The sequence below is a fragment of the Homo sapiens genome, chromosome 2, assembly GCF_000001405.40.
Source record: "Homo sapiens chromosome 2, GRCh38.p14 Primary Assembly".
NCBI lineage: Eukaryota > Metazoa > Chordata > Mammalia > Primates > Hominidae > Homo > Homo sapiens.
Genome location: NC_000002.12, coordinates 165726508 through 165747587, shown reverse-complemented (window position 1 = coordinate 165747587; position 21080 = coordinate 165726508). Strand labels below are relative to the sequence as shown.

Genomic DNA, 21080 nt, shown 5'->3' with positions numbered 1-21080 from the left:
TAGAATGATGTTTTAAAAAAATTTGACGCTTGCTTAGGAGATTTACCACTTTTTTTTTTTGTTTTTCGTCATTTTATATTTAGATCTCCTGTATTCTTGTTCCCGAAGTAAAATACGATCGGTTTCATATTTTAAATCTGGCAGAGCCTCAGCTGTACGAAAAAGAGCATATACTGGTTATTGACCCTATCTTCTCATTGTTTGTTTGTAAGTTTGAATTTGTATTAAAAAGCCTGCATTCTGAGCTGGACATGGTGGCTCAGCTTCTAATCCCAGCACTTTGGTAGGCAAAGGTGGGAGGATCATTTGAGCTCAGGAGTTCCAGACCAGCCTGGGCAACATAGCAAAATCTCATCTCTACAAAAAGTAAAAATTAAAAAATGAAATTAAAAATAAAATTACCTAGGTGTGGTGGCACGCATCTGTAGTTCCAGCTATACAGGAAGGTGAGGCAGAAGCATTGCTTGAGCTTGGGAGATCGAGGCTACAGTGAGCTATGATTACACCACTGCACTTCAGTCTGTGTGACTGAGCAAGACTCTTTCAAAAAAAAAAAAAAAAGCCTACATTCTCCAGTTGATTATTTCAACTAATGTGTATTATGTGCCTAATTTTCTATCAGAAGTTGTATTAGCCCGTTTTCACACTGCTGTTAAAGACATACCTGAGACTGGGTAATTTATAAAGAAAAATAGGTTCGATGGACTCACAGGTCCGCGTGGCTGGGGAGGCTTCACAATCATGGCGGAAGGTGAAAGGCATGTCTTACGTGGAGGGAGACAAGACAGAATGAGAACCAAGTGAAAGTGGTTTCCCCTTATAAAACCGTTAGGTCTCGTGAGACTTACTCACTACCACAAGAACAGTGTGGGGAAAACCACCCCCATTATTCAATTATCTACTACTGGGCCCCTCTCACAACACGTGAGATTTATGGGAGCTACAATTCAAGATGACATTTGGTGGGAACACAGCCAAACCATATCAGAAGTGATGGTAGGCAGAGTAAGACTTGTTATTACTTTTGAGCTATGTCTCATGGGTCAGAAAGAAAGGCAAATAATTTTAAAGTAGAAGGTAAGTACCACTAGGCATGAATATCTATGAGCATATATTTCTCTTAGAGCTTATTATATCTCTAAACACAAAATTATTTCTCAAAAATATTTCATAAATGAACTTAAACATATTTTCAAAAAAACCAAAGTGAGTGCCCTGCATGTATCACTCATATGTTGATATATCATGATCCAACTGAAATCTACTTAGAGTAGGTTGATATTATTATGGGAAAGTCCTTCTTACCTGATTTGGCAGCCTCAGGCTATTGCTCAAGTGTCATACAAATCATGTCATTAAGGACTGGACCTTTAGGGTAGGTAGTGCCTTTTAAAAGTCTTGAGTTTTGGAACAATGATAACCGAGAGTTATTTATGGAACCTGGCTGCCATCCACCTGAGACTTAACTGCACTCAAGTGTGAAATTGTGGAATTCTTGCTCAATTTGAAGCTGCCATGGCAAATGGTCTGGTTGCTACAGAAGACCTGGCATGCTGCCTTCATTCCAGAGCACCAAGTCCTAAGAACTCTCGGTTGGTAAGCTGCACTGCCAGATCCACTAGGGTTAACCTGATGGGCAAGTTCACTGAAATCTGAGAGGGGATCACAGAGTTAACTATAGGAGAAAATAAGCAACACACTAAAATTGCCCATTACTATAACCAATGATGATGGATTTTTTAAGCCCCTATATTACCAGAGACTAGTATTGGACAATTTAGTTAAGTACTTTATATACCATCAAAATATAAGTGCAAAAAGGACAAGGTTGACTTTATCGGAAGGACTAGAAAAAAATCATTTTTAAAATGCTGTTATGTGTAGATGAGAATTGTAAAAGATAGGGAAAACAAAAAACTAGGCAGATTCTGTACTCAGATTGCTTCACAATTCACTTTAAAGACAGCAGAAATAAATATCTTTAGACAATGCATTTTTAGTATGCTTTGTGCAAGGAAGATGTTTGCAGAACTCTCAGAAACCAGTTCATACTCAGATAAAAGGCCTTGGGCCCTACAAAAGAATATCTGTGAAGGAATTAATACACATACAAATGTGGCATTGTGTGTGTGTGTGTGTAGTGTGTATGTGTGTGTGTGTAGTGTGTATATTTTAAATTAAAATATTTGACATCTTTTTATGAATTTATATTTTAATTACCTTTTCCAAATTATCAACCTACCCAATCTTCCCTTTTCCAGTCCTACAGTCCTACTTTTTCCACATCACCAGCCCAACTGCAAAAGAGATTCCTCCTGCACGCCTAGTCCCTCTCGCTCTCTAGGCTTCCACAACACCTAGGAAATTTTTTGTGTCTGTTTTTGGGATTTTATTAGGCACCAGGCACTAATAATATACAAAATAGTCCCCATCTGAAGGCGGAGAAAGTTATAGTTTAGTAATGTGGTCACCAATGTGGTCTCATAATGATGTTTTAAAGAGAAATAGTCCCATGATGAAGTCAACATATTCAACTTCTGGTGAGTCCACTGACAGGAGCTAGAGGAGAAAACAGGCACCCCATATTTTAGAGGTAAATAATTGAAGTAATGCTTCTTAAACCTTTTTGTACACACAATAATAAGATTCTGATTGATTAAGAATCAATCAGTTTGAATAAGATTTTGATTCATTAAGAATCAATCAGATTGAATAAGATTCTGATTAAGAATCAATCAGATTGAATAAGATTCTGATTGATTAAGCCTGGGGTAGAGCTTGTAATTTTGTATTTCTGACAAACTTTCAGGTGATACCAAAGCGGCTGGCCCTGGTACCGCGCTTTGAATAGAAAGGCTACCCAGTGAACCAATGCCCAGGGTTCTTCGAGACTACCATGATGACTTTGACCATGCTTGACATCCATAATTACTTCTAGTACGACCAGAAGTCAATGCCTCTCTATCAACCATTATCATCATTATTCTTCCCTGGCAGATCCTACATCCTTTGTATATCTCTAAGTTGATAAATCCCCCACCTTCTGATAACCTTCTACTCTGCAAACTTCTTTGATTAGAAAACTCTATTATATCAGCAATTTTGTCTCTGAAAATTCTACGTATTGTCTTGCCTTAACTGAACTGGACATTAATTAAGGATAAATCTTCCAATTCTAGTGAGGGTTATTGTTTTTTGTTTTTGTTTTCTATCATTCCTCTTGCACTTCAAGGCTAGGATTTGGGATAGGTGTGTCCTTCTTCAAAAATGCCCCAGCTTATTTGAAGCCGTGTCATGTGGATATATTATGCTCTACCCCTTCGTGCTGCTGTCAACCATGAATTTATAGGTCATTTATCTTAATTCATTCCCTGCATTAATTGAATACTTTAGTTCCTGTTGGCCTTTCTTTCTTTATACCTCTACTTGTGTCACCCTATGGGTGACTTCATTATTGGTGCAGATAACTCCAGCATTCTGAGCTCTCTGTATTTGACAACCACATTTCCTTCCCTCAACCACACATTCCCTGGTCATCACTAGAAACTATATCTTCTCTAACATCTTGATCACCTTAACGTCTCTGACTACCACCTCCTTTCCTAGCTCATTTATGCTAGTTCTTGCTCTCTAGAAACTTTTTCTATCTCTTCAGGACTTCTAAACCATTGATTTTGCTACTTGTTCACTATCATTCTCCTCTAGTCTATACTTTTATTCTTATCCAGAATGGTTTTAATATTTCCTCATTGTAACAATGACAGTGAAAGAGTTCACTGTCAATTCATGTGTCTGTTTCTCCATCGTGCTTACCTAGAAAACCCCAAACCCTGGATAAACCAAAATATTTGCTACCACTACTTCTGCATCCAAACAATTGTCAGGCTGGGCACATTCACCATCTTTCTGGGGAAATCCTGTATCCTCTCTCTCTTTCATATGTTAGGTCTCCTGTTTTGTGTATACTATAACTTCCTCTTTCTTGGTTAACTTCCTCATTTTGGAGGAGTACATTACACAGTAATATTCTGGGGAACGGTTTAGGATGCATACAGTTTTTGAGACCCTTATATCCAAAATACCTGTATTCTACCCTCACAATTAGAAGGTTAGCTGAGTATAGATTTCTTGGATGGATTTTTTTTCAATATTTTAAAAGTTTTGTTTGTTTGTTTTTCTAAATTTCAGTATTGATAACTCCAGTCTATTTTTGATTCTTGGTTCTTTGTTAGTGATTTTATTATTTTCACTCTGAATACTTATAGATATCCTATTTGCCACAATGTGTTAAATTTCACTGTAAGTCTTATATTACAGTATGCTTTACTGTGCTCTTTAAATACTCACGTAATTAAATTATGAAATCTTTTCCAAATATTTATTAATTTTATCCTTTGTATTCTCAGTTTCTCTCTGGGAATCTTATTATATCAGACCATTAACATATTGATTCTCTAGTCTATATAGGAGGGCAGCTTTTCTGATCTATATTCCGTATCTTTGCATATCCAGGATGTATTCTTAATGTACTCCTTTAAGCCTTCTATTGAGTTTTTCTTTTCTGTCATTTGTAATTTCCAAAAGCACATTCTTGTTCTCTGAATTTTTCTTGAATACCACTATTATTTTGTGAATGTGATTTTTTTCTTTTGTCTTTCTGAGATTATCAATAAAAATATTAATGGTAGTTCTTTTTTTAAAGGTTTCATCTACTTGCATAGTCTATTTCCTCCAAGCTGCTTTTTTTCCCCCTATTTACTCTCTGCATTTCATAACAGATGCTTTCCTCTAAAGTCTGGTGATTTTTAATTGTTCATATTGAACAGAGGATTGAATACTTATTAAAAAGCTCTTGAGTCTGAGGAGGGCTTATTGACTATGGTCTTTCCTGTAGGCTGACCCAAGTGCGGCCATTGTGCTGGAAAACAAAATGACAAGTTAGATCCCCAGAGAAGAATCTTCCAATCACCCTGGAAGGTGTAAACCTGAGAATCATTGGGAGAAGAGGACTGGGGATGAATTTTCAGTATAAGATTCTTAACTGTGCTGGTAGCCCCTGTTCTAGAGACACTCTATCTTATCCTCTCCAGTGAATGAATGTCTAAGCTTCTGTTTGGGTGTAGGAGAGGAACGAGGAGTCTAAATGATTGGTAAATGGAGCGTCAACTACTTCTCCTCCCCAACTGTATCTTTCTCACTTTTGGAGGCGCTTGGTTCCACCAGTTCTTGATTCTTTCTGTGGTTCTGTAGTATGAAATGCATTACTACTCTGCTTTCTCCAATGATAGCTTTGGACTAACTACTAATTAATTTGCTTTCCAGGCTTCAAAACAGTGTTGTCATTAAACTTCTCCTACTCTTCTCCCCATGGATATATATTTTTTTCCCTATATCTTTACTGTCATTTTAATGGGATTTTGGAAGACAGCAGAAGAAAATGAAGATAGAATCTGATACTCTTGACAAGAAATCCCATTAATTCTTCGATGATTTCCAATTTTTTCACAGCAACCTATCTTTTTAAATAAAAAACAACATTGCTCCTCTGCTTTGTAACCTTCCAATGGCTCTCAAATTGTTCTTAGAGTAAAATTCTTGCTTCTGGTTGTAGCCTGCAAGACCCTATATGACCCACTCCTTGCCAATTTCTCCTGCCTCATCTAGGACCACCTTTTCTGTGCTGAGTGTGCTTCAGACAGAGTAGTTGCCTCCTGGATTTGTCTCGTGTATCAAACTGATTCTTGCTTTAGAGCCAACATTTTCTTGGTCTGGATGCCCCTAGTAACAGTATCTTTTATATGTTTCTATTCTCAGCTCAAATAAAACATTCTGAGAAGAGACCATCTTTTATAAAGTAACCCAATCACTACTGAATCACCGTGTTTATTTCCTTGTTACATTTACCACTACCTGAAATTTTATGTGTGAACTTATCTTTTGTCTCCATAAAATGTCATCTTCACAAAAGCAAGATAAGAAATAATGAAATCCATATCATGTTCAAATTTAGGTAACTTCAGTATATCCTCGAAATGAAACAACACTATTTTTCAAGGACGTTTACATTAAACACAGAATTGGTGCCAGTGAGGATGGGCTATGAGCATAGGAATGGAGGATGAAGAGGAAAATATGGGCAAAAATAAAAAAGGACAAAAAAGACAGTTTTTTCTTAGACTGATGAAGAGCAACAACAAAAATTCTTGATAGGAAAAGTTTTCTGAGAAGATGCATTATTTTTTCAAAAGATATGTTACAGAAAACATAGGTTTATTTACAATATCCTATAGTACAAGAATAATGGAACCAAGAAATAGAGGTACTAGTTCGCATAGCACACAATATATCTATGAAACTCATTACTCAAAGAGTTTATGTAAGTGGAAATTTTGAATAGACTCAGCAAAATTGATGACTAACAAATTCACAATCAATAAGAAAAAATAGAATGTATAGCATGTCCCCATATTTTCAGTCACATAGAAGAGAGCATCTTCCAAAACATATCCCTTTGATACTACATCAGTCATCGCATGTTTCCTTGAAAGTTATGAGAGTATTTGCTTTTATTTAATATTATCATAATTTTATGATATTCCTTTAGAATCTCAGCCACTCACTGTGTAAATTATTATAGGAGAAGTCTAATTTTTTCCAGTGGATCTTTTGAAAACGTATCTCCTTTAAAACATAATGTTAATAGTGAAAAATAGTTTGAAAACACAGGTGGAATTCATGGTGTCAAAAATGTTATTTTTAAGAACGTATTTTTAAAAAGAAGACCAAATAACTTCTACTTGTTTGTAAAATCCTTGTTAACTAGGTGGAGCATTATTTCTGTTATTCTGTGTTAGAGTGCATTTATTATTTTATTTTTCCATCAGAGTTAGTATTGCCAGCAATAGAAATTAACTCTGGATGATTCAAGTGGAAAAGAAGTTTGTTGAAAGGATATTGAGTAGTTCACAGAGTCATTTGGAACACTAGAGAAAAGGCTTAAAAAATGGGCAGGCAGGATAAAACAAAGTGCATAGCTTTGAAGCTAAAATTATGCTGCAGAACTTGACTAGTGAGGATATTTTTTCTGATGCCAGCAAATGCTAGATGAATGGTTTGTACCTCTCATTTCTCTAGCATTGGCATTGGCATTGTTTGCTGCTGACATTGGCTACTGGATGACCCCCCTGCTATAACTGTGACCAGATCCTCGAGGTAACTGCTACTATTGCTGCCAGAACTAATTCTCCACTGAGTGCTTCTTTTCTCACTAGTTCCCAAGTCAATATCCAAGCTGAAGTCAGAGTAACTGAGCCTATTCATGTGCCCTACCCTCAAAGTAATGGAGGCTATGAAAGCAAGTATCTGGCTTTGCAGCTTCTGCAGTTGAAGGTGGAAATTTCACAGGCACAGAAAGGGAGTTCAGATGCCAGGTAGCTAAGAAAAAAAAAAAGACAAACAACTTTAGTACAAACCGTAGGATTTGAAAACCATAGCATTCTTTTCCTCACTATTTTTTCCTTTAAACTGTAAACATTTAAATGATTATACATATATATAAATGCCATTCACTTAATCATATTGTAGGCACTTTCTTGCTTTTCTTTTGTTGACTTTCAAATAGGTCAAAGATATTACTATATTTTTTATTTCTGTACTCTGTAGAGTTAGATGGTATATTCATAATTTGTTTTCTCAGAACAGTAATTTTTATTGTTTTTTAATTAATTATTTTTGCAAAATAATTTATATGTAATAAAATGCACAGAATTTAAAAGTTGAGTTTAATGAGTTTTGACTTGTAGATATCCTTGTAACTGCCACACAAAACAAGATCTAGAATATTTCCTTCACACCAGAAAGTGTGTTAGATAGTATATTCATAATTTGTTTTCGCCGAGCAGCAATTTTTATTGCTTTTTAAAAATTAATTCTTATTGCAAAATAATTTGTATATAATAAAATGCACAGAATTTAAGAGTTCAGTTTAATGAGTTTTGACTTGTAGATATCCTTATAACTGCCGCCCAAAACAAGATCTAGAATATTTCCTTCACACCAGAAAGTGCTTTGCATCTCCCTCAACTCAAACTTTCAACCCTGAAAGCAACCATCCTGATTTTTATCAGCATGCATTAGCATCAATTATTCTTTTGTTTCATCTAAATGGAATAATACATTACATATTTTTGTATCTGCTTTTGGTTGTTCATTATAATGTTTTTTGATATGAATCCATGAGGTTTTGTCCATTTGTAGACTGTCTTTTCAATTGCTGAGTATTATTCCATGTATAGATATACCACAATTTCTTTGTCCATTCTTTCATGACAGACATTTGAGATATTTTAAATTTTTGAATATTTTGAATAAGGGGGCTATGATCATTCATATACAAGTCTTTTTATCTTTAAAAAAAGTGAAAACATGGCCGGGCTCATGCCTATAATTCCAGCACTTTGGGAGGCCGAGGCAGGGAAGTCACGAGGACGAGGTCAGGAGATCGAGACCATCCTGGCTAACACAATGAAAACCCATCTCTGCTAAAAATACAAAAAATTAGCCGGGCGTGGTGGTGGGCTCCTGTAGTCCCAGCTACTCGGGAGACTGAGGCAGGAGAATGGGGTGAATCCGAGAGGCAGAGCTTGCAGTGAACCGAGATCATGCCACTGCACTCCAGCCTGGGTGACAGAGCGAGACTCCATCTCAAAAAAAAAAAAAAAAAAAAAAGTTAAAAGGTTTTACTTTTTCACTGGAGAAAAAGTTCTACAATGAAACATCTTTAACATTTTCCAGTGAAAAATGTTTTCACTTTTTTTTAAGGTAGACACCTAGGAATGGATTCATGGATACCATGTATATCCAACTTTAAAAGGTACTGCCACAGGTTTTTTTAAATGGTTGTGATATTTCACATTTCCACCAGCAATATATGAGAGTTCCCAGTGGTTTCACTTCCTTGCCAAAACTTGGTATTTTCAGTCCTTTTTATTTTAAACATTCTAGTATGTATCTTGTGGTGGTTTTAATTGTTATTTCCCTGATAAGCACCTTTTTATGTTCATGTTGAACAGTCATTTTTTTTGGTAAAATGTTTACATATTATATGCATATTTATTGAGTAGATTTCTTCATTATTGATTTGCAGGTCGTTATATATTCTAAATACAAGTCCTTTGTTAGATATTTGTATTGTAAAATAATTGTGTTGTAAATATTTTCTCCAAGTCTGAAGCTTGATTTTATTTCTTATAACATTTTTTAATGTGCAGAAGTTCTTATTTTTGATGTTGTGTAATTTATCAAGTTTTGTTTTATGTTTGGTGCTTTTTATGCTCTAAAGAAATCTTTGCCTATCTCAAACGTATGAAGATCTACTTCAATGTTTTTTCTAGATGCTTTATTTTTCTAACTTTTATTTTAAGTCAATGATTAATCTTGAAATAATTTTTGTACATAGAGTGATGTAGGAGGTTGAGATTTACTAATTTAATTTTCCGTTGTTCAAACACCATTTGGGAACTTGCTTTCCCAAAGGAATTGTTATGGTTTGGCTGTGTCCCTACCCAAATCTCATCTTGAATTTGAGTTCCCATAATCTCCACATGTCCTGGAGATAATTGAATCATGCGGGCAGTTTCCTCCATCCTGTTCTCGGGATAGTGAGTGCATTCTCACGAGATCTGATGGTTTTATAAGGGGTTTTTTCCCCTGTTGCTCTGCACTTCTCCTACCTGTCATCATGTGAAGAAAGATGCCTTTGCTTCCCCTTCTGCCATGCGATTGAACTACTTTCCTTTATAAATTACCCAATCTCAGGCAGTTCTTTATAGCAATGTGAGAATGGACTAATACAGGAATTGTGTCGGTACCTTTGTTAAAAAATCAATGGATGCGGGGGAGGAGCCAAGATGGCCGAATAGGAACAGCTCCGGTCTACAGCTCCCAGCGTGACCGATGCAGAAGACCGGTGATTTCTGCATTTCCATCTGAGGTACCAGGTTCATCTCACTAGGGAGTGCCAGACAGTGGGCGCAGGCCAGTGGGTGCGCGCACCGTGCGCGAGCCGAAGCAGGGCGAGGCATTGCCTCACCTGGGAAGCGCAAGGGGTCAGAGAGTTCCCTTTCCGAGTCAAAGAAAGGGGTGATGGACGCACCTGGAAAATCGGGTCACTCCCACCCGAACATTGCGCTTTTCAGACCGGCTTAAAAAACGGCGCACCACGAGACTATATCCCACACCTGGCTCGGAGGGTCCTACGCCCACGGAATCTCGCTGATTGCTAGCACAGCAGTCTGAGATCAAACTGCAAGGCGGCAGCGAGGCTGGGGGAGGGGCGCCCGCCATTGCCCAGGCTTGCTTAGGTAAACAAAGCAGCCAGGAAGCTCGAACTGGGTGGAGCCCACCACAGCTCAAGGAGGCCTGCCTGCCTCTGTAGGCTCCACCTCTGGGGGCAGGGCACAGACAAACAAAAAGACAGCAGTAACCTCTGCAGACTTAAATGTCCCTGTCTGACAGCTTTGAAGGGAGCAGTGGTTCTCCCAGCACGCAGCTGGAGATCTGAGAACCGGCAGACTGCCTCTTCAAGTGGGTCCCTGACCCCTGACCCCCAAGCAGCCTAACTGGGAGGCACCCCCCAGCAGGGGCACACTGACACCTCACATGGCAGGGTATTCCAACAGACCTGCAGCTGAGGGTCCTGTCTGTTAGAAGGAAAACTAACAAACAGAAAGGACATCCACACCAAAAACCCATCTGTACATCACCATCATCAAAGACCAAAAGTAGATAAAACCACAAAGATGGGGAAAAAACAGAACAGAAAAACTGGAAGCTCTAAAAATCAGAGCGCCTCTCCTCCTCCAAAGGAACGCAGCTCCTCACCAGCAACAGAACAAAGCTGGATGGAGAATGACTTTGACGAGCTGAGAGAAGAAGGCTTCAGACGATCAAATTACTCTGAGCTACGGGAGGACATTCAAACCAAAGGCAAAGAAGTTGAAAACTTCGAAAAAAATTTAGAAGAATGTATAACTAGAATAACCAATACAGAGAAGTGCTTAAAGGAGCTGATGGAGCTGAAAACCAAGGCTCGAGAACTACGTGAAGAATGCAGAAGCCTCAGGAGCTGATGCGATCAACTGGAAGAAAGGGTGTCAGCAATGGAAGATGAAATGAATGAAATGAAGTGAGAAGGGAAGTTTAGAGAAAAAAGAATAAAAAGAAATGAGCAAAGCCTCCAAGAAATATGGGACTATGTGAAAAGACCAAATCTACCTCTGATTGGTGTACCTGAAAGTGATGGGGAGAATGGAACCAAGTTGGAAAACACTCTGCAGGATATTATCCAGGAGAACTTCCCCAATCTAGCAAGGCAGGCCAATGTTCAGATTCAGGAAATACAGAGAACGCCACAAAGATACTCCTTGAGAAGAGCAACTCCAAGACACATAATTGTCAGATTCACCAAAGTTGAAATGAAGGAAAAAATGTTAAGGGCAGCCAGAGAGAAAGGTCGGGTTACCCTCAAAGGGAAGCCCATCAGACTAACAGCGGATCTCTCGGCAGAAACCCTACAAGCCAGAAGAGAGTGGGGGCCAATATTCAACATTCTTAAAGAAAAGAATTTTCAACCCAGAATTTCATATCCAGCCAAGCTAAGCTTCATAAGTGAAGGAGAAATAAAATACTTTACAGAAAAGCAAATGCTGAGAGATTTTGTCACCACCAGGCCTGCCCTAAAAGAGCTCCTGAAGGAAGCGCTAAACATGGAAAGGAACAACCAGTACCAGCTGCTGCAAAATCATGCCAAAATGTAAAGACCATCGAGACTAGGAAGAAACTGCATCAACTAACGAGCAAAATCACCAGCTAACATCATAATGACAGGATCAAATTCACACATAACAATATTAACTTTAAATGTAAATGGACTAAATTCTCCAATTAAAAGACACAGACTGGCAAATTGGATAAAGAGTCAAGACCCATCAGTGTGCTGTATTCAGGAAACCCATCTCACGTGCAGAGACACACATAGGCTCAAAATAAAATGATGGAGGAAGATCTACCAAGCAAATGGAAAACAAAAAAAGGCAGGGGTTGCAATCCTAGTCTCTGATAAAACAGACTTTAAACCAACAAAGATCAAAAGAGACAAAGAAGGCCATTACATAATGGTAAAGGGATCAATTCAACAAGAAGAGCTAACTATCCTAAATATATATGCACCCAATACAGGAGCACCCAGATTCATAAAGCAAGTCCTGAGTGACCTACAAAGAGACTTAGACTCCCACACAATAATAATGGGAGACTTTAACACCCCACTGTCAACATTAGACAGATCAACGAGACAGAAAGTCAACAAGGATACCCAGGAATTGAACTCAGCTCTGCACCAAGTGGACCTAATAGACATCTACAGAACTCTCCACCCCAAATCAACAGAATATACATTTTTTTCAGCACCACACCACACCTATTCCAAAATTGACCACGTAGTTGGAAGTAAAGCTCTCCTCAGCAAATGTAAAAGAACAGAAATTATAACAAACTATCTCTCAGACCACAGTGCAATGAAACTAGAACTCAGGATTAAGAAACTCACTCAAAGCCGCTCAACTACATGGAAACTGAACAACCTGCTCCTGAATGACTACTGGGTACATAACAAAATGAAGGCAGAAATAAAGATGTTCTTTGAAACCAACAAGAACAAAGACACAACATACCAGAATCTCTGGGACGCATTCAAAGCAGTGTGTAGAGGGAAATTTATAGCACTAAATGCCCACAAGAGAAAGCAGGAAAGATCCAAAATTGACACCCTAACATCACAATTAAAAGAACTAGAAAAGCAAGAGCAAACACATTCAAAAGCTAGCAGAAGGCAAGAAATAACTAAAATCAGAGCAGAACTGAAGGAAATAGAGACACAAAAAACCCTTCAAAAAATCAATGAATCCAGGAGCTGGTTTTTTGAAAGGATCAACAAAATTGATAGACCGCTAGCAAGACTAATAAAGAAAAAAAGAGAGAAGAATCAAATAGACACAATAAAAAATGATAAAGGGGATATCACCACCGATCCCACAGAAATACAAACTACCATCAGAGAATACTACAAACACCTCTATGCAAATAAACTAGAAAATCTAGAAGAAATGGATAAATTCCTCGACACATACACTCTCCCAAGACTAAACCAGGAAGAAGTTGAATCTCTTAATAGACCAATAACAGGAGCTGAAATTGTGGCAATAATCAATAGCTTACCAACCAAAAAGAGTCCAGGACCAGATGGATTCACAGCCGAATTCTACCAGAGGTACAAGGAGGAACTGGTACCATTCCTTCTGAAACTATTCCAATCAATAGAAAAAGAGGGAATCCTCCCTAACTCATTTTATGAGGCCAGCATCATTCTGATACCAAAGCCAGGCAGAGACACAACAAAAAAAGAGAATTTTAGACCAATATCCTTGATGAACATTGATGCAAAAATCCTCAATAAAATACTGGCAAACCAAATCCAGCAGCACATCAAAAAGCTTATCCACCATGATCAAGTGGGCTTCATCCCTGGGATGCAAGGCTGGTTCAATATACGCAAATCAATAAATGTAATCCAGCATATAAACAGAGCCAAAGACAAAAACCACATGATTATCTCAATAGATGCAGAAAAAGACTTTGACAAAATTCAACAACCCTTCATGCTAAAAACTCTCAATAACTTAGGTATTGATGGGACGTATTTCAAAATAATAAGAGCTATCTATGACAAACCCACAGCCAATATCATGCTGAATGGGCAAAAACTGGAAGCATTCCCTTTGAAAACTGGCACAAGACAGGGATGCCCTCTCTCACCACTCCTATTCAACATAGTGTTGGAAGTTCTGGCCAGGGCAATTAGGCAGGAGAAGGAAATAAAGGGTATTCAATTAGGAAAAGAGGAAGTCAAATTGTCCCTGTTTGCAGATGACATGATTGTATATCTAGAAAACCCCATTGTCTCAGCCCAAAATCTCCTTAAGCTGATAAGCAACTTCAGCAAAGTCTCAGGATATAAAATCAATGTACAAAAATCACAAGCATTCTTATACACCAACAACAGACAAACAGAGAGCCAAATCATGAGTGAAGTCCCATTCACAATTGCTTCAAAGAGAATAAAATACCTAGGAATCCAACTTACAAGGGATGTGAAGGACCTCTTCGAGGAGAACTACAAACCACTGCTCAAGGAAATAAAAGAGGATACAAACAAATGGAAGAACATTCCATGCTCATGGGTAGGAAGAATCAATATCGTGAAAATGGCCATACTGCCCAAGGTAATTTACAGATTCAATGCCATCGCCATCAAGCTACCAATGACTTTCTTCACAGAATTGGAAAAAACTACTTTAAAGTTCATGTGGAACCAAAAAAGAGCCTGCATCGCCAAGTCAATCCTAAGCCAAAAGAACAAAGCTGGAGGCATCACACTACCTGACTTCAAACTTTACTACAAGGCTACAGTAACCAAAACAGCATGGTACTGGTACCAAAACAGAGATATAGATCAATGGAACAGAACAGAGCCCTCAGAAATAACACGACATACCTACAACTGTCTGATCTTTGACAAATCTGAGAAAAACAAGAAATGGGGAAAGGATTCCCTATTTAATAAATGGTGCTGGGAAAACTGGCTAGCCATATGTAGAAAGCTGAAACTGGATCCCTTCCTTACACCTTATACAAAAATCAATTCAAGATGGATTAAAGATTTAAACGTTAGACCTAAAACCATAAAAACCCTAGAAGAAAACCTAGGCATTACCATTCAGGACATAGGCATGGGCAAGGACTTCATGTCCAAAACACCAAAAGCAATGGCAACAAAAGCCAAAATTGACAAATGGGATCTAATTAAACTAAAGAGCTTCTGCACAGCAAGAGAAACTACCATCAGAGTGAACAGGCAACCTACAACATGGGAGAAAATTTTTGCAACCTACTCATCTGACAAAGGGCTAATATCCAGAATCTACAATGAACTCAACCAAATTTACAAGAAAAAAAAAACAACCCCATCAAAAAGTGGGCGAAGGACATGAACAGACACTTCTCAAAAGAAGACATTTATGCAGCCAAAAAACACATGAAAAAATGCTCATCATCACTGGCCATCAGAGAAATGCAAATCAAAACCACAATGAGATACCATCTCACACCAGTTAGAATGGGAATCATTAAAAAGTCAGGAAACAACAGGTGCTGGAGAGGATGTGGAGAAATAGGAACACTTTTACACTGTTGGTGGGACTGTAAACTAGTTCAACCATTGTGGAAGTCAGTGTGGCGATTCCTCAGGGATCTAGAACTAGAAATACCATTTGACCCAGCCATCCCATTACTGGGTATATACCCAAAGGACTATAAATCATGCTGCTATAAAGACACATGCACACGTATGTTTATTGCGGCATTATTCACAATAGCAAAGACTTGGAACCAACCCAAATGTCCAACAATGATAGACTGGATTAAGAAAATGTGGCACATATACACCATGGAATACTATGCAGCCATAAAAAATGATGAGTTCATGTCCTTTGTAGGGACATGGATGAAATTGGAAATCATCATTCTCAGTAAACTATTGCAAGAACAAAAAACCAAACACCGCATATTCTCACTCATAGGTGGGAATTGAACAATGAGATCACATGGACACAGGAAGGGGAATATCACACTCTGGGGACTGTGGTGGGGTGGGGGGAGGGGGGAGGGATAGCATTGGGAGATATACCTAATGCTAGATGACGAGTTAGTGGGTGCAGCGCACCAGCATCGCACATGTATACATATGTAACTAACCTGCACAATGTGCACATGTACCCTAAAACTTAAAGTATAATAATAAAAAAAAAAGAAAAAATAATAATGGTAAAAAAAAAAAAATCAATGGATGCTATGCTTGTGTGTGTCAATTTCTGAACTCACTCTTCTATTTTATTGGTCTACATGTCTTTGCTTATGGCAACACACACTATCTTGATTACTGTAGTTTTATAGATTGTGTATTGTCCTACTTATTCTGTTTTCAACATTATTTTGACTATTTTAGATTATTTGCATTTTTTCTGTAAATTTTGGAATCTACTTGTTAATTTACTTTCCCCCCACAATGTTTATGCCTTGTAGTTCTTTTTCTTGCCTTATTACATTTATTGGGACTTGTAATACAATGTTGAATAGAAGTGATAATGAACATCCTTGCATTTTTTTTCTGTTCTTAAGAGGAAAATATTCACTGTTTTATCCTTAAGTGTGGTCTTTGCTATAGATTTTGCACTTATTAAATTCAGGAAATTTCCTTCTATTCCTAGTTTGAGAGTTTTTATCATGCATAAGTGTAAAATTTTGTCAAATATGTTTTCTATTGAGTCCATGATAGGATCTTATCCTTTATCCTACTCATGTTGTACTTTTCATGTGTGAAACCAACGTTGCATACTTGGGATAACCTACACTTGGTCATAACAAAGTATTCCTTTTATAACATAGGATTAAAAAAAGAACAATCTACTTGTCTGTCTGTAGAGATACTCCTATGCTTGACATTTTGTATAAATGGAGTCATATAATATGTGGTTTTCTGTGACTGGCTTATTTAATTTAGTCACAATGTTTTCAAGATTCATGCATACTTCAGCAAGTATCAGCATTTTTTCTTATGACCAGATAATATTTCATTATATGGATAAGCCATATGTGTTTATTCATTCATCACTTGTTGGACGTTTGACACTTTCTGACTTTTATGAATAATTCTGCTGTGTATACACAAAAACATTTGTGCATAAGTTTTTGTTTGAATGCCTGTTTTTGTTTTGTTTTGTTTTTTGAGACAGGGTGTGGCTCTGTTGCCCAGTCTAGGGTGCAGTGGCATGGTCTTGGCTCACTGCAGCCTTGCCATTCTCCCTCCTTAGCCTCCTGAGTAGCTGGGACTACAGGCACATGCCACCACACCCAGCTAATTTTTGTATTTTGTTTAGAGATGGAGTCTCACTTTGTTGTCCATGCTGGTCTCTAAAGCCTGAGCTCAAGCAATCCACCTGCCTTTCCTCCCAAAGTACTGGGATTATAGGCATGCGCTACCACATCTGACTGAAAACATGTTTTTAATTCTCTTGAGTACATATCTAGGAGTGGAATTGCTGGGTCATATTGTCTCTCTATGTTTAATCACTTTAGGAATTACCTATTGTTTTCCAAAGTGGCTGCACCATTTTACAACTCCACCAGCAACATATGAGGGTTCTGATTTCTCCTCATCCTTACCAACACTTTTTATTATCTAACTTTTTGATTCTAGCCATCCTTGTGTGTTTGAATTGGTATCTCATTTGGGTTTTTATTTGCATTTCTCTGATAAATAATTACGTTAAACATCTTTCATGTGCTTATTGGCCATTTGTATATTTTCCTTGAAGAAATGTTTATTGTGGTTTGCCTATTTTTAATTTGGGCTGTCTTTTTTCTTAGTAAGTTGTGTTATTTATATATTTTGGAAAGTCCCATATAAGAGATATGATTTGCAAATATTTTCTCCCATTCTGTGAAATTGTTATTTCACTTTATTGGTGGTTTCCTTTGAAGGACAAGGTTTTAATTTTTATCAAGTTCAAATTATCAATTTTTTTTCTTTTGTTGTTCATACGTTTCATGCCATATGTAAGAATCCTTTGCCAAATCTGAGGTCATGAAGATTTATGTCTATGTTTTCTTCAATGAGTTTTTATGGTTTTCCGTTTTAAATTTAGGTCTTTGATACATTTTAAGTTTATTTTTGTATATGGTATGAGGTAAGGGTTCAGCCTCATTATTTTGCATGTGGATATCCAATAGTTCCAGCCCCATTTGTTGAAAAGACTATTCTTCTCCTCACTGAATGGTTGTGGCATTCTTGTCAAAATCAGTTGACCATAGAAACATGGTCTCTCAATTCAGTTCCTTTCACCTATATTCTGTCCTTGTGCTAGCACCACACTATTTTGGTTGCCATCATTTTGGAGTAAATTTTGAAATTGAGAGGTGTGATTTTTTTCTACTTTGCTTTCTGTGTTTTCAAGATTGTTTTAGCTCTTATGTACCCTTTGCGATTTTATATGAACTTTAGTATCAGCTTGTCAATTTCCACAATGATATCTGGGATTCTAATAGAGATTGCCATTTTAACAATATTAAGTCTTCTGATCCATGAACATGGGATGTTTTTCCATTTATTGTAATACCTAATTTCTTTCAATAATGTTTTATAGTTTGCAGACTATTAATTTTGCACTTCTTTTGTTAAATTTATTCCTGTCTTTTTGCTGCAATTATAAATTTTCTTAGTTTTGTTTTTGAGTTTATTTTGAATTCATTGAAAGTGTATAGACATAAAATTGATTTTTATATATTGATATTGTAGTCTGAAACCTTGCTGAATTGTTAGTTTTTATAGTTAGTGGATTCCTTAGGGCTTTCTGTATACGAGATCACGCTATCTGTGTGTAGAAATCGTTTTACTTCTTTCTTTCTAATCTGGATACCTTTTATTTCTGTTCTCACTTAGTTGCCCTGACTACAACCTGCATTACAAATACTTTCTATATTTTGATTGATTTAATTTGTTAATATTTTGTGGGGGATTTTTGTGTTTATGTTTGTGAAAGATATTATTTGGGAATTTTCTTATAATGTGTCAGGTTTTATTATCAAGGTTATGCTGGACATAGAACCATTTGGAAAGTTGTTTTCTCCACCTTTATTTTCTGAAAGATAATGTGTAATATAAATATAATTTCATGGCTCATGCAGTGGTTCATGCCTGAAATCCCAACACTTTGGGAGGCTGGGGCAGGAGCATCACTTGAGGCCAGGAGTTCAAGACCAGCCTCAACAATATAGTGGGACTCCATCTCTTCAAAAAAATCCCCACAAAAATTAGCCAGGCATGGTGGTGCGTGCCTTAAGGTGGAAGCTTGAGTAATTGATTTTAAACCCTTTTTCTTGTTCAAAGCTATAAATTCTCCTGTAATACTTTAGCTGCTGCACACCACAAATTATGATATATGGTGTTTTCATTATCACTCAGCTCAAATTATTTTTCAGTTTATCTTTTCAACTCATGAACTCTTTACAAGTGTATTGCTTAATTTCCAAATTTGAGGATATTCTAAATATCCTATTGTTGTTTTTATTTTCCAACTTTTGTTTTAGATTCAGTGGGTACATGTGCAGATTTGTTACATGAGTAAATTGCATGTCATGGGGGTAACACTTTCCTGCTTGTCTTTTTTGTTATTGGTCTTATACTGAGCATTGTATATGAAAAAACAGTAGAGACTGACAATATTTATCTACAGAAAAGGGCATGCTCCTCTGTCAAGCTGCTGGAGTTGGGAATTGGGTCAATTTAATCTGTTCTTAAGCAACATTTGAATTTTATTATAACTTTAATAAGATTCAGCTCACTATTGTATAAAAGTATTCTGAGGGCAGAATTAGGGTCTTCAGCAGAGCTTGAGGATTATACACCAGTGAGATTTCAGATCTCTTTATACTTTATGGCACAGACACCTGTTTTTCAAATCATGGAAGAGGTCTTTCTGCTTTATAACTAAACTGTCCAACTCTTTAGGTCACTTGGGAGTTATATTTTCTCTGTAGTATGGCCCCCACTTTTCTGCAACTTGGGATACTTCTCTTGGCCTTTCACTCAGCTTTCAGTTGGCAGCTGGTGAAGTTCTAATGCATATCAGAGGGACTTCTCTCAGCTTTCCTGCCCTACCACTAGACTGATACTGAGATGGCTTCAGGGTATGTCAGTCAACTCTACTGCCCCAACTTCAAAACTTTGGTAGATTGCTGCAAAGCACTTGGAGAAACACCTTCCCTCTTGTGGTAACAAGTACATTTTTCAGCTGTCTTGCATGCACCTAGACTTTATTAGGCCATCCAGCAGCAATTTTTAGAAGACGTGTAGTACTGATTTTGTTTCAATACATACTTTTATTGAGAATCATAAATTCTTCACTTCCTATTCTTGTCAATTATTTTCCTCTCCCTGTGTCTTTGTGGAGAAGGCGAGACTCCAGTTTAAATGAAAGAATAGATGTTCCCTGCCATATTAAAAAGCACAGATTAATATTTTTACTTTTTTATGCTGCATGCTAAGCATATTTTCCACTCCTTTATAAAAATCACATTAGTTTTAAAGTGCTATGACTCTGGGATCTTTGAGTACTTGGAGATGCTGAGTATGAAGAATGTTTACATTTTTATCTTATAACCTATTTTTATAATGGATTCTTTAATTGGACACATTTTTATCTATTTCCATTGGAAATAATCCACTGAAAATGTTTCAGAAATTGTTTGTTCTGGTGCTTATTTCTTAAACTATATTTTTATATGGGCTTTTATATTTAAACTGCATTTGATTAATAACTTACAGACTTGAATACTTCATTTGCCCACTAAAAGCCTACAATGACTTTCTCTTTTTTGAGACAAAGTTTTTCTCTGTCATCCATGCTGGAGTGCATGGATGCAACCACGGCTCACTGCAGCCTCATCCTCCCACCTCAGCTTCCCAAGTAGCTGGGACCACAGGTGCACACCATCACATCTGGCTAATTTTTAATTTTTTTTTTTTTTTTTTTTTTTTTTTTTTTAGAGATGAGGTCTCGCTATGTGGCCCAGGCTGGTCTCAAACTCCTGGTCTCAAGCAATCCTCTTGCCTTTGCCCACAAGGTGCTGGGATTACAGACACGAGCCACCATGCCCAGCTACAGCGGCTTCTAATCTTCGGGCAGATACTGTCCAAAGGCTCTAGTGTCATAATTTGGCCTCTAGGTTTTTTTCTTTTCTTCTTTTTTTTTAGGGATTTCTTCCCCTCGCTATATTCCTTCTCGTCACTTACATCTAACGTACTGACCTCATTATTCCCTGAAATGCCATTCACTTTTACACTACCATATTTTGCCTATTGCTTATTACTTTCCTTAATGTTTGAAATCTATGGTCTTCTAGGCCCA

The 21080-nt window shown here is 37.3% G+C and overlaps 1 annotated feature.

Moving 5' to 3' along the window:
* Positions 10150 to 10707: an enhancer, noted in NCBI's record as "H3K27ac-H3K4me1 hESC enhancer chr2:166593391-166593948 (GRCh37/hg19 assembly coordinates)". NCBI's record gives its function as "activates a minimal SCP1, AML or CMV promoter by ChIP-STARR-seq in naive H9 embryonic stem cells {active_cell/tissue: H9 hESC(naive)}" and the evidence as "EXISTENCE:reporter gene assay evidence [ECO:0000049][PMID:30033119]".